Here is a 13,201-nt window from a genome sequence, read left to right as displayed (position 1 = left end):
AGGCAAGTGGATTGTTGGAGTCCAAAAGTTCGAGACCATCCTGGGCAATGTGGCAAAAACCTGTCTCTACAAAAAAAAAAATAGAAAAATTAGCCAGATGTGGTGGCACTCGCCTGTGGTCCCAGCTACTCAGGAGCCTGAGGTGGGAAGATTGCTTGAGCCCAGAGGGTGGAGGTTGCAGTGAGCTAAGATCACACCACTGTACTCCAGCCTAGGTGACAGAGTGAGACCCTGTCTGTATAGAGTCAGTGCAGTCCTCATCAAAACTCTTGTGGGCTTTTTTGTAGAAATTGAAAAACTTACTCTAAAATCTGTGTGGAAATTCAAAGGACCTAGAATAATAGCTCAAAACAACTTTGAAGGACAGTGTTGGAGAGTAACACTACCTGATTTCAAAATTATAAAGCTACAGTATTCAAGACAGCATGGTATTGATGTTCAGGAATATCAGTGAAATATAATAGATGGTTCACAAATAAGCCCAAACTTACGTACGTGATTTTTGCCCAAGATGGAAAGCATAGTCTTTTCCACAATGGTGTTGAAACAAAGGGGTATCCATATACAAAAGAAGAAACTTCAAACCATACCACACTCCATATAAAAAAAAAGACCTTGGCTGGGTGTGGTGGATCATGCCTGTAATCCCAGCACTTTGGGAGGCCAAGGTGGGCGGATCACAAGATCAGCAGTTCGAGACCAGCCTGGCCAATATGGTGAAACCCTGTCTCTACAAAAAATACAAAAATTAGCCAGGCATGGTGGTGCGTGCCTGTAGTCCCAGCTACTCAGGAGAGTCTGAGGCAGGAGAATCACTTGAACCCAGGAGGCGGAGGTTGCGGTGAGCCAAGATCACGCTACTGCACTCCAGTCTGGGCAACAGAGTGAGACTCCATCTCAAAAAAACAAAAAAACAAACAAACAAAAAAAACTCAAAATGTATCATAGACCTAAATGAAAAAGCCATAAACTATAAAACTACTAAAGGAAAACATTTTGAAAAAAAGTCTTTATGACCTTGGGATAGGAAAAGACTTTTTAGACCTGACTTTGAAAGCAACATCTAAGAAAGAACAAATTGATAAATTAGTCTTCATCAAAATTTAAAACTTCAGCTCTTCAAAGGACACTGTTAAAAGAATGAAAAGATAAGCCACATGATACTGAGAAAATATTTTCAAGTCATATATCATAAAGGACTTGCATCAAGAATAAAGAACTCTCAAAACCCAGAAAGAAAATACTTAAAACTTTATTTAAAGCAACCCAATTATTTTTAAATGGGCAAAATATTTGAACAGACACTTTAACATAGAAGATATCTGGATGGCAAATAAGTCCGGGAAAAGATGATAAATGTCACTAACTCATTAGGAAAATGCAGATTAAAACTGAAATACCACTACACATCTATTACAATTACTAAAATGAAATAGACTAGCTATACCAAGAGTTGATAAGGATTTGGAGGAACTGGAACTCTCACATACTCCTGGTGGGAACATGAAACTACATAACCACTTTTGAAATCAGTTGGGAGTTATTTAAAAATTAAACCTACTACACCACCTACTGTATGATCTAGCCACCCAAGATATTTCCCCAAGACAAATTAAAGAATGTTGATTCAAACACATGTATGGGAATACTCACAGCAGCTTGAAATGTAATAACCAAAACTAGAAACAACCCAGATATCCATAAACAGGTGTATATGGATAAACCAACTGTGGTACATCCTTGATACAATGGGATACCATTCTGCAATTTAAAAAGGAATAAACTATTAATACCTGCAAGAAAAATCTCAAAATGATTATTTATATAAAATTCTAGGAAATACAAACTTCAATGGTTGCCTGCTGGCAGGGGAAGAGAAGGAAGGGACTATAAAGGGGAATAAGGAAAATTATGGGGTGTTGGATCTGTTCATTAATTCGACCATGCCAGTGGTTTCATGAGTGTAAAAATACCTCACAACTTATCAGACTTATGCTTTTTGTCACTTATACATCAATAAAGCTGCCTTTAAGAAAAAGGGAAGAAGAAAAGCATCTTTTTTTCAGGTACTAGAACATTGCATATCACTTTTCCTAATAAACAGTCCAGATGACTATGTGGCCGGCTTGTATATACACTAACATGAGTGAGGGATTAAGGTATTAGGTCATATCTTTGTTAATAACTATTGGTATATGATAGAGTTATTTTTGTCTAATTTTAAAATTGCTTATTCTGATTCATTTCCATAGTTTTAAGATTTAGCAAATTATATAATGTTATTCATTCCTCTGTTGTATTGTTTCCCATGGTCATTTGTCTAACTAAATCTAGTTTGTTCCAAACTAGGGATTAACTTTTTAATAGAATAAAAGTAATGTTGAGGGTTACTTTTTAAATGGTTAAAGTTAACAGTTTCAAAGAACTAAAGTTTTGGAATCATTCTGCTTGTACAAATTTTATAATGCCTCTTTCATTATCCTCTTTATTTGATTCATCTTTATTTCATGGTATTTCTTGTTTAGCATTTTTATATTAGTTTGTTTTTGGTAACTGTAAATGTTAAAGTGAATGTAAATAGAAATGTCATTCCTGTAAACTCCTACCCAAATTAAAATTCATGTAAGTCCCAACCCAAAATACACAAATTATTTCCCATTTTAAATTGTTAGGCAAAAAACATATATTTAAATGATGATTAGCAGGTCTTTGGACTTAATTACTTTGAGATTTTTGTAAAAGTTGTGGTTGAATACATCTGTTCAAGTTTAATAATTTAAAAGGAAAAATGTATAATCAATGCTGGAATTACTATGATATGTGAAATGGTTTGCTGAAAAGTCTATGTACTAAAGTGGAAATAATCTTGAAGTTCTTAATATGCCTTGTTTTCTGTTTCTGCAGAGTGTCTATAAATGTGATTTCCTGAACTTACAGCTTCAGCAACCACTCCAGCTTGCACAGGATGCTATAGATGCTTTTTTGAAGCAGCTGAAAAACCCTATTGATTCTCTTCCTGGAGAGCTTTTCCATGTGGTTGTTTTCTCTCTCCTTCTTTCTTATTTTCCATCTCCTTACCAGCGATGGATTTGCTGCAAGAAAGCCCATGAACTGTTAGTGTTAAATGGTTTATTACTAATCATCACACCTGATTCCTCCCATCAGAACCGTCATGCTATGATGATGAAAAGCTGGAAGATTGCTATAGAGTCCCTGGGCTTTAAACGCTTCAAGTACTCAAAATTTTCACATATGCATCTGATGGCATTTAGGAAAATCTCTCTAAAAACCACAAGTGACTTGGTTAGTAGGAACTACCCAGGAATGTTATATATTCCTCAAGATTTCAACAGTATAGAAGATGAGGAATATTCTAACCCTTCCTGCTATGTTCGATCAGATATAGAAGATGAACAACTAGCATATGGTTTCACAGAACTCCCTGATGCGCCATATGACTCAGATTCTGGAGAAAGTCAAGCCAGCTCTATTCCTTTCTATGAGCTAGAAGACCCCATATTACTTTTAAGTTAATATAGAAGCAAAAAGCCCCTTTCAGTCCAGGCTCCTAAACTAATTGCTTACACCAATTGGAAATACTAACATGAACTCAGTACTGAAAACCTGGTTTGCATAAAAGAAATGCAGAGGTTTACAGAGTTTGCTATTTTTTTCTACTTCTCAATTTTAAAATTTATTCTTATATAGAAAGCTTAAAGTTTCATGCAGAGTGACTCATGTCATAGCAGAAACTACTGTTACTTTAGCATTTAGCACTATCATAGAAAGGTACCTTTTTCTCTTTAGTGCTATTGTGAAAACAAGCATAATTTGCTATATGTTTTCCTTTTCAACTTTTCAGTGTTGACTATAAACCATTGAATGGAAAACTTTAAGATGTAGAAAGCTGTAGATTGCACTTTGATGACTCACAAGTTAAATGTGATACAGAAAAATAGATCGGTTAGTTGTTTTGTGATGCACTTATCTTTTTCTTTTTTCTAACTAAAATTGTGATGTTACAGAAAGTCATTTTATGTTCCTTTTTTGTCTGATGATCCAATATTTACTGAACTTTTTGTAATTGGTGATAATTCTTTTTATTTCTTCCTTATATTAAAAGCTCATTTGACAGCATCAGACATTGGGGGAGAGATGTCCCCCAAAGTGTGTATTCTAATTTTATTAGCCCTATCCAATAAACACCATTGCCAAAGTAGTATTTTCATAACTTTCTTGTTGATTTGGGCCTTGGTGTGAAGTATATTTACCTGAGAGTTCACTTTTACTTTTCTTAAACTTAGGCTTCATTTACAAAATGTTTTATTTAAGCAAGGAACAATGTAATACTCAATAATGACCTAAAACACCTTTTTGAAAGGGTTTGCACTTGGAAGAGAGTTTATGTTCTGTTGAAACCAACTTTGATAGGGTCCTCACCTTTCCGTTAAGGAGGTGCCGCACTACAAGTTTCAAATTATATGGAAAAACCTAAAATTAACCCTCTGTTGGTGATCTCATAAAATGGTTTTGACCTTTTGGTATCTTAATTTCTATCTAAACTTTATCAGAAAATTTTCTTTGAATATATCAATTAGTTGGCTGTGGGAATTTTCCCTTTCCACATTAATAAATGCCTTTCTGTGTTTCTGAATCAGAAGCAAATGATTAGGGAAAAATATATGTCCAAACAAGACAAGATTAGTTTAAACAGTTAAGAACATTTAGTCCACATTGTCTTGTCAGCCAGCAATTGTCATGGAAGCTATCATTTTTAAGAGTGCCACTGTGTGGATTTTTTTTTCAAGTGGTTATTACATTAAAATTACCTCATACTGAGGTTTTTGCACTGAAATATCACAGTTTCAGATTTCATGGTTAATGTTGTGCGTATGTTTGTATGTTTTTAAAGGAAACTTGCATTTTCAATAGTTGATCCTAAATTTCATAAACTGCACTTCTTTACTCTGGTAAAGCTGATGTTTTTGTGCTTATTGTGAATTGCCGTAGTACCTTTGAATGTCAAACTTTATTTAGAAATATAAAACTTATCCTTTATGATATAAATGGTTGAGTGTATGTACCCAGTATTTCTAATTAAATTTCACATGCTAAATTAATGAAAGTAACAAGATTGTAATTTTTTAAAGTCAGTTGATTAAATGCAATAAATATTGGTTGCTCAAATATGCCACAAATAACTCGAAATTTTTCATTTACTTTCAACAGCATAAGATTCTTTAATATTTAGGATTGACTGTTCTTTCCAGTTAAGCACTGAAGGATTATGTCTTGTAGCTTCCCCAAGAGAAGGGGAAGGAAAAAAAAGCACTATGTTAAGGATAATACAGAACTCTTTTGAACTATTTTGGTAGTACCTTTTACCATACTGTTTGCTTTTTGATTTGGGTAAATATCTTAAGAGCAAAGAAAACAATACACCAAATGAAAATGCTTTGAAAGTAAATGAAAACAGCGCTTTTGAAAGGCTGGTATAGTATGACCCTGGAGTCAGCCTTTGTGTTACAGCGAAAATGTTGGTGCTATAAATTCTGATTGTTTACAGATGTTGATTCTGCTTATGCTCCAAAGTGTGCATGATGTATTTTACGTAGTACTCTGAGGAAGTCTCTTTATAAAACCTACTACCACTTAGTATAAATTTGTTTGAATTTATATCATTTGTTACTGTAAATTCAGCTTATTCCAATTAGGTTGGCACAGATTTAAACTGATACACATTCCACAAAAACCAATTCAGTGTATAAGTATTGAAGTATAAGCAGTCATTGCAGCTTGATGCCAGATCATGTATGTAATAACAAGTGGAAGTTAATAGGGCCTTCTAATACTGTATGGGTACTCCTAAGAATTATTTCATTTTGGATATAAAGAAGTTATGAGGCCTCCTGTCACATTCACAGCTGGTTCTCCAAAATAATTTGGTTGTTTCAAAAACAAATGGTAATCATTTGGTTGGATTCTTCAGTATCATGACTAGATCATGTGGTTTTACCATAGTTGCCAAGTGGTGGGAGGTAGCATACCTGAAAATGTACGTGTGTGTTTGTTGTATTTTTTCACATTTTGTGAACAAAGCACATTTATTAAAAATTTTAAATTTTCTAGTATTCTTTGTCTGTTACTTGTAAACCGAAAGTTCTGTGGTCTTTGATGTATCTCACTAAGTGATTTCAGCATTGGGAAGCAATTTAGAACTTGAGTGACTTGTACAATTTTCCCACTGGGTTTCATTTTTGTTAAATCCCTTAATGTCATAAATTTATTCACTGAGATCCAGAGAACTCAGGTGACTTCCCATTGTCATGTTTTGTCATGTTTATGGCAGAAGCAGGGCAACAGCATAAATTCTACTTTATTGTATGTCAACCATATCATATTCTTTTTTTTTTTTTAAGTAAGCTACATAATTTATCAGCTCTTTCAGGACAGCAGATGTCTTCCTCATGATATGAAAGGTTTTTTGTTGTTGTTGTTTATTAAACAAATGTTTGAATTCTGCCATGTGCTATATGCTGGGAAAGCAGCAAGGATTGGAGTGATCATTGTCCCCTGCTCTCATGGAGCTTATGACCTAAGAGTGAAGACAAGCATGCTACATGTACTTAGTATCTGTATCCAAGAATGATTACCTGCTGATGCTACAGTTTTGCCCCTGCTTAAAATCCTTAATTCACAGAAGTAGAACAGGAAATAAGAAAAGCTTTAAACACAAAACTAGCAAATTACACATTGTGGATAAGAGAGATGTATTGTTCATTCCTCTAGGAAAGTATAACCTAAATATAAATTCTGATGTAAAAGCAGAAAAAAAAATGGATTCAAGCTTTTTGTTCCGTTTTCCCACACTTTCTGAGCACTATGCAGCAATGCTATTCCTCTGCAAGAGTCCACACACTAGGTCAGCAGAAATGTAAATCAAAGATTTGGTTCCTTCTTGGTTTTGTAAATTGCTTGTTAAATGATAACAAAGGTAGAAAACAAATTCTTTGTTACAAAAAAAAAAAAAAAACCCATAATACAAACATTTACTACAAGGAATGTTTGTATTATAATAACTTTATTCTTAAAAAAAACTGAATTGCCATAACCATGATAGTATGATAATTCATGTTAAAGTCATATCCATGAGCTACTGTGAATGCAAAGCTCCCGAAGTATATTAGTGGTGGCCTATATATATACACACTACAAAACCCAGTGAACAAGCAGGCTACAATAGCTAACAATTTAAAGATCTCTAAATGCGTAAAAGGAGATACGCTGGTTTTTCTAAACCCTGTTTTTCTCTTGGCAGAGAAATGGAAATCTCAACAATTGGAAAGCCTTTTAAATGTACCTTAAACTTTGGTTTGTATGCTTTTTTCTAAATTTGTTTCAGAATCTCAGTAGTTTTCTGGGTGGCTCATGCCTGTAATCCCAACAGTTTGGGAGGCCGAGGTGGGTGGATTGCTTGAGGTCAAGAGTTCGAGATCAGCTTAGCCAACATGATGAAACTCCATGTCTACTAAAAATACAAAACGTAGCCAGGCATGGCAGCATGTGACTGTAATCCCAGCTACTCAGGAAGCTGAGGCACAAGAATCGCACGAACCTGGAAGGCGGAGGTTGCAGTGAGCTGAGATCACACCACTGCACTCCAGCCTGGGTGACAGCTAGGTCTCAAAAAAGGAAAATAACCATCTCAGTAGTTTCTAAATTAGTATGCATCTATTTTTTTAAATGAGAATCTTGTTACATATGGCACTATAGAGTATGAACTTTTAGTAATTATGAGTTAAGCAGTTCAACTTATTTTGAATTTTATTTTCAACCATAACACCTTTGCTAAGTTATGAGAAAGCTAGTCTGCTTTTTGTGATAGTATAAAATATTTATTGTCAATGGTTGTTTTTAGTAATCATAAATGATAGCTAAAACTATTTTGCATCATAAATTTTTAAGTTTGGGCCCATCAGTAGTATCAAAGATGGTACTTCTTTCTATGGTTTTTAAGTTAAAGGAAAACTACAAAAAATTAGACCATAGGCATTGACTGCAGAATTGTTTCTTGAATTTGTCATTAATAATTTGAAAGCTGTAAAACAAATCTATTGATGGATTGGAATGCCCATGTAAACCATAAAAATGGCAGGGAGCATTACCCCAAAAAAAGGAAACAGTATTTTCTAGATCCAGCCCTGTTTGCAACTCTTTAGGAAGAAAATGCGAGAAAATATACTTGCATCCTTTTATTGCATATATCCAAGTAAACTATTCGTAGTGTCCTGATGACAGTATTTCTTCTGTAGCCCTTTGAACTGGTGTGGGAAATCAGCTACTGAGAAGAATATGATTTGTGGTCACAGATACTCTATGTGAAGCTATAATAGAATCCACATTTAAGTTGTTTACATTTACATTCATCCCTAGCCCTACAAATCCTTTTTACAGTTAGCTAATGCCACTCTAGCTATGCCTGTTGTCTTCTACAAGGAAAAAGAATACGAACATGACCATGGCCAATATTAATTTCCTTCTCCCTTAAACTCCTGTTCTATAATGCATCTCTGGATAATAGAGTTTGCATTGACAGGCTAAAACATGAAAGAATAATGAAGTCAGGAAAAAATGGTTTCCAAATTGCCACACATATTTTCAATAGAAATCCAAGCAATAACATGTTTCCTAAAGCTAGGCATGGATGAAACATTCCTTGGAAATAAATGGGTGATTACTGGAAGAAGGAAAAATCTTTGAGACTGTCTGCAAGAAGAAAGATGCTTAAGACAGAAAGAGGGCCTAACAGCTTAACTAACTGTATAATGAGCTTTATATTCTCTGGCTCCACTGAATCATTACCACGGATTAAAGTACTGGAGTACAGTGTGTTGGAAGTAGAACAGGGACTTGGGAATTTGGAAGTAAGAAGACATATTTTGATAGGAAAGTGGAATGGTCTGGAGCTTGTGACCAGAAAAGGTGAGGGCAGGTGGGGGGAGGGGAGGGCAGTGGGGAAGACCCTGTGGGCCTAGGGAATGGTGCCAGTTGGAATGAAGAGATACAGAATGGGAGTCAGGATGTCACAAACCATCCCTTTAGTCTTACGGTTAAATGAACTGCTAACATCAATTCTATAACTGAGAAAGTTCCAACAAATTATTTATAATAAAATGAACAGGCTGGGTGTGGTAGCTCACACCTGTAATCCCAGCACTTTGAGATGCCAAGGTAGGCGGATCGCTTGAGCCCAGGAGCTCAAGACCAGCCTGGCAATATAGTGAGACATCATCTGTACACAAAAATTTTAAAAATCAGCCAGGCGCAGTGGCATGCACTTGTAGTCCTCGCTACTCGGGAGGCTGAGGCACAAAGATCATCTGAGCCTGGGAGGCGGAGGTTGCAGTGAGCCAAGATTAGACCAACGGACTCCAGCCTGGGCAACAGACTAAGAGCTTGTCTGAGAAAAAAAGAAAGACAAACATTTTCCTCCCTAAAATTTATCAAATTTTAACATCACGCTATAGAAGATAGTATTATAAGTAAATATAGGTTAATAGTAATACTTCTGTGAGATACTGTGTAATACATTTTCCCACAGAATGTGAAGCATAAAATTCAAAAGAAAGCAAGCACAGCTCTTGTGACAAACCACTTTATATAGAGTATTACCTAAGACATTATGTACTTGGAGTTGTCTTGAGTAAATGAATTTTCACTGATCTAGTAGGCCTTGTGGTTCCCTTTTTATTTATTATTTTCTTTTTATTATTATTATTATTATACCTTAAGTTTTAGGGTACATGTGCACAACGTGCAGGTTTGTTACATATATATACATGTGCCATGTTGGTGTGCTGCATGCATTAACTCGTCATTTAACATTAGGTATATCTACTAATGCTATCCCTTCTGATGGGATGTATCTCAAAATAATAAGAGCTATTTATGACAAACCCACAGCCAATATCATACTGAATGGGCAAAAACTGGAAGCATTCCCTTTGAAAACTGGCACAAGACACGGATACCCTCTCTCACCACTCCTATTCAACATAGTGTTGGAAGTTCTGACCGGGGCAATCAGGCAGGAGAAAGAAAGGGTATTCACTTAGGAAAAGAGGAAGTCAAATTGTCCCTGTTTGCAGATGACATGATTGTATATCTAGAAAACCCCATTGTCTCAGCCCAAAATCTCCTTAAGCTGATAAACAACTTCAGCAAAGTCTCAGGATACAAAATCAATGTGCAAAATCACAAGCATTCTTATACACCAATAACAGACAAACAGCCAAATCATGAGTGAACTCCCATTCACAATTGCTTCAAAGAGAATAAAATACCTAGGAATCCAACTTACAAGGGATGTGAAGGACCTCTTCAAGGAGAGCTACAAACCACTGCTCAATGAAATAAAAGATACAAACAAATGGAAGAACATTCCATGCTCATGGGTAGGAAGAATCAATATTGTGAAAATGGCCATACTGCCCAAGGTAATTTATAGATTTGATGCCATCCCCGTCAAGCTACCAATGACTTTCTTCACAGAATTGGAAAAAGCTACTTTAAAGTTCATATGGAACCAAAAAAGAGCCCACATTGCCAAGTCAATCCTAAGCCAAAAGAACAAGGCTGGAGGCATCATGCTACCTGACTTCAAACTATACTACAAGGCTACAGTAACCAAAACAGCATGGTACTGGTACAAAAACAGAGATATAGACTAATGGAACAGAACAGAGCCCTCAGAAATAATGCCACATATCTACAACTATCTGATCTTTGACAAACCTGACAAAGACAAGAAATGGGGAAAGGATTCCCTATTTAATAAATGGTGCTGGGAAAACTGGCTAGCCATATGTGGAAAGCTGAAACTGGATCCCTTCCTTACACCTTATACAAAAATTAATTCAAGATGGATTAAAGATTTAAATGTTAGACCTAAAACCATAAAAACTCTAGAAGAAAACCTAGGCAATACCATTTAGGACATAGGCAAGGACTTCATGTCTAAAATACCAAAAGCAATGGCAACAAAAGCCAAAATTGACAAATGGGATCTAATTAAACTAAAGAGCTTCTGCACAGCAAAAGAAACTACCATCAGAGTGAACAGACTACCTACAGAATGGGAGAAAATTTTTGCAATATACTCATCTGACAAAGGGATAATATCCAGAATCTACAAAGAACTCAAACAAATTTACAAGAAAAAAACAACCCCATCAAAAAGTGGGCGAAGGATATGAACAGACACTTCTCAAAAGAAGACATTTATGCAGCCAAAAGACACATGAGAAAATGCTCATCATCACTGGCCATCAGAGAAATGCAAATCAAAACCACAATGAGATACCATCTCATACCAGTTAGAATGGTGATCATTAAAAAGTCAGGAAACAACAGGTGCTGGAGAGGATGTGGAGAAATAGGAACAATTTTACACCGTTGGTGGGACTGTAAACTAGTTCAACCATTGTGGAAGACAGTGTGGCGATTCCTCAGGGATCTAGAACTAGAAATACCATTTGACCCAGCCATCCCATTACTGGGTATATACCCAAAGGATTATAAAACATGCTGCTATAAAGACACATGCACACGTATGTTTATTGCGGCACTATTCACAATAGCAAAGACTTGGAACCAACCCAAATGTCCAACAATGATAGACTGGATTAAGAAAATGTGGCACATATACACCATGGAATGCTATGCAGCCATAAAAAATGATGAGTTCATGTCCTTTGTAGGGACATGGATGAAGCTGGAAACCATCATTCTCAGCAAACTATTGAAAGGACAAAAAACCAAACACCACATATTCTCACTCATAGGTGGGAATTGAACAATGAGAACACATGGACACATGGACACAGGAAGGGGAACATCACACACTGTGGTTCCCTTTTCATAACTGTGAGGACTATTTGTGGGATAACTAGCTCAGGTTAGATGTCATTTGTGGCAATAACATAGTTAACTAGTCTACACCAATCAATATTGATTCACTAGTTGAGAATTTCTGTGCTATGGCACTGGATTAGGTACTAGAAGGAGCAGATGTCTGCTCTGCTCTTCAGGGGCTGACAGTGGAAACTTAAATACACTAGCATTAATACAAGGCAAAAAATAAAAACAAACATTACAGAAAACATTCTTGCACTGCAGCATCTGGTGGTACATATAAATGAAACCTGTTCACTTGACTTTTATGACACACTGTTCTTAACCCATCTAGAGGCAATTTACTTTAATATGGATACCCCTTATCATAAAGGGGCCAAATGTAAATGATGCAGCCCCTCCGTACCTCTCCAATGCAACTTCCCACCATTCTCTCCTTCACCTTCTGTGTTAGAGTCCTAGGGGGAAACACACACACCCACACACATCATGTGACCACCTTTGCACTAGCTACTCCCTCTGCCTAGAATTTCTTCCTCCTACATTTTATTTCCATGGCTAGTTTGTTTTTGTTATTCAAATCTCTGCTTAAATGCCACATCCTCTGGGACACCTTCCTATTACACATAATCGAAAATTGTCTCTTCACAATACCATAAAGTCTCTGCATAGCTCTAATTATCTGAAGTTTATCTTTGTCCATGTTCATCTGTATATATGGGCAAAGCCCTTTTCTGTCCTGTGTCTTCAGCCTAAATAAGTACCTTGCATAAAGAAGGTGATGGAATACATATTTCCAAATGGTTAATTTTACCTTCCAAAATGCAACTGTGATGATACAGGGCCACTGCTGCTGCTTAGTTTATGAATCTTTTGGGGTAGTCTAGTCCTGTTTATATTAATTAGTTTATTAATATGTTCTCATAATTAAGATATAACTCAATTTATACTTCAGGAAAGTCTAAATTGGTTTGTATAAACTGAAGCTTAGATCAATACTAAGTAACCTGGAGCCATATAATTTCTCTTCTGTGTATTCCCACACATTCATTAAAATGAATTATATCTAAACCTGAAATCCTACTTTCTTACCACGTCCGTCAGTACTCTCTCTCCAATGGCCAGCTCCCACTCCTTGCTAGTGTAAGAATTTAAGTTTGTAAACCATCATTAGCTTTTACATCTTTAAAAGGAGTATTTACCTAAATGATCTCTTCAACCCCAGGAGAGAAGTGGTACTCCAGCAGTTTCTTTATTCGTATAAGGGATACGTGATTTGTACTACTTT

At 35.9% G+C, this 13,201-nt stretch overlaps 1 protein-coding gene across 1 annotated transcript in view; it reads left to right on the top strand.

The window, feature by feature from the left end:
• The window catches only part of SAMTOR (S-adenosylmethionine sensor upstream of mTORC1), a 120,729-nt gene extending 114,598 nt beyond the window's left edge, over positions 1–6,131 (top strand). The window contains exon 5 of the mRNA NM_152556.3: positions 2,905–6,131. Within this exon, the coding sequence (NP_689769.2) occupies positions 2,905–3,534 (630 nt within the window). The 3' untranslated portion in view covers positions 3,535–6,131. The remainder of the gene's footprint in view (positions 1–2,904) is intronic.
• Positions 6,132–13,201: the final 7,070 nt, after the last annotated feature.

This window comes from Homo sapiens, chromosome 7 (genome assembly GCF_000001405.40).
Source record: "Homo sapiens chromosome 7, GRCh38.p14 Primary Assembly".
In the NCBI taxonomy this organism is placed as follows: Eukaryota; Metazoa; Chordata; class Mammalia; order Primates; family Hominidae; genus Homo; species Homo sapiens.
This window is presented reverse-complemented; position numbering and strand designations above follow the sequence as displayed.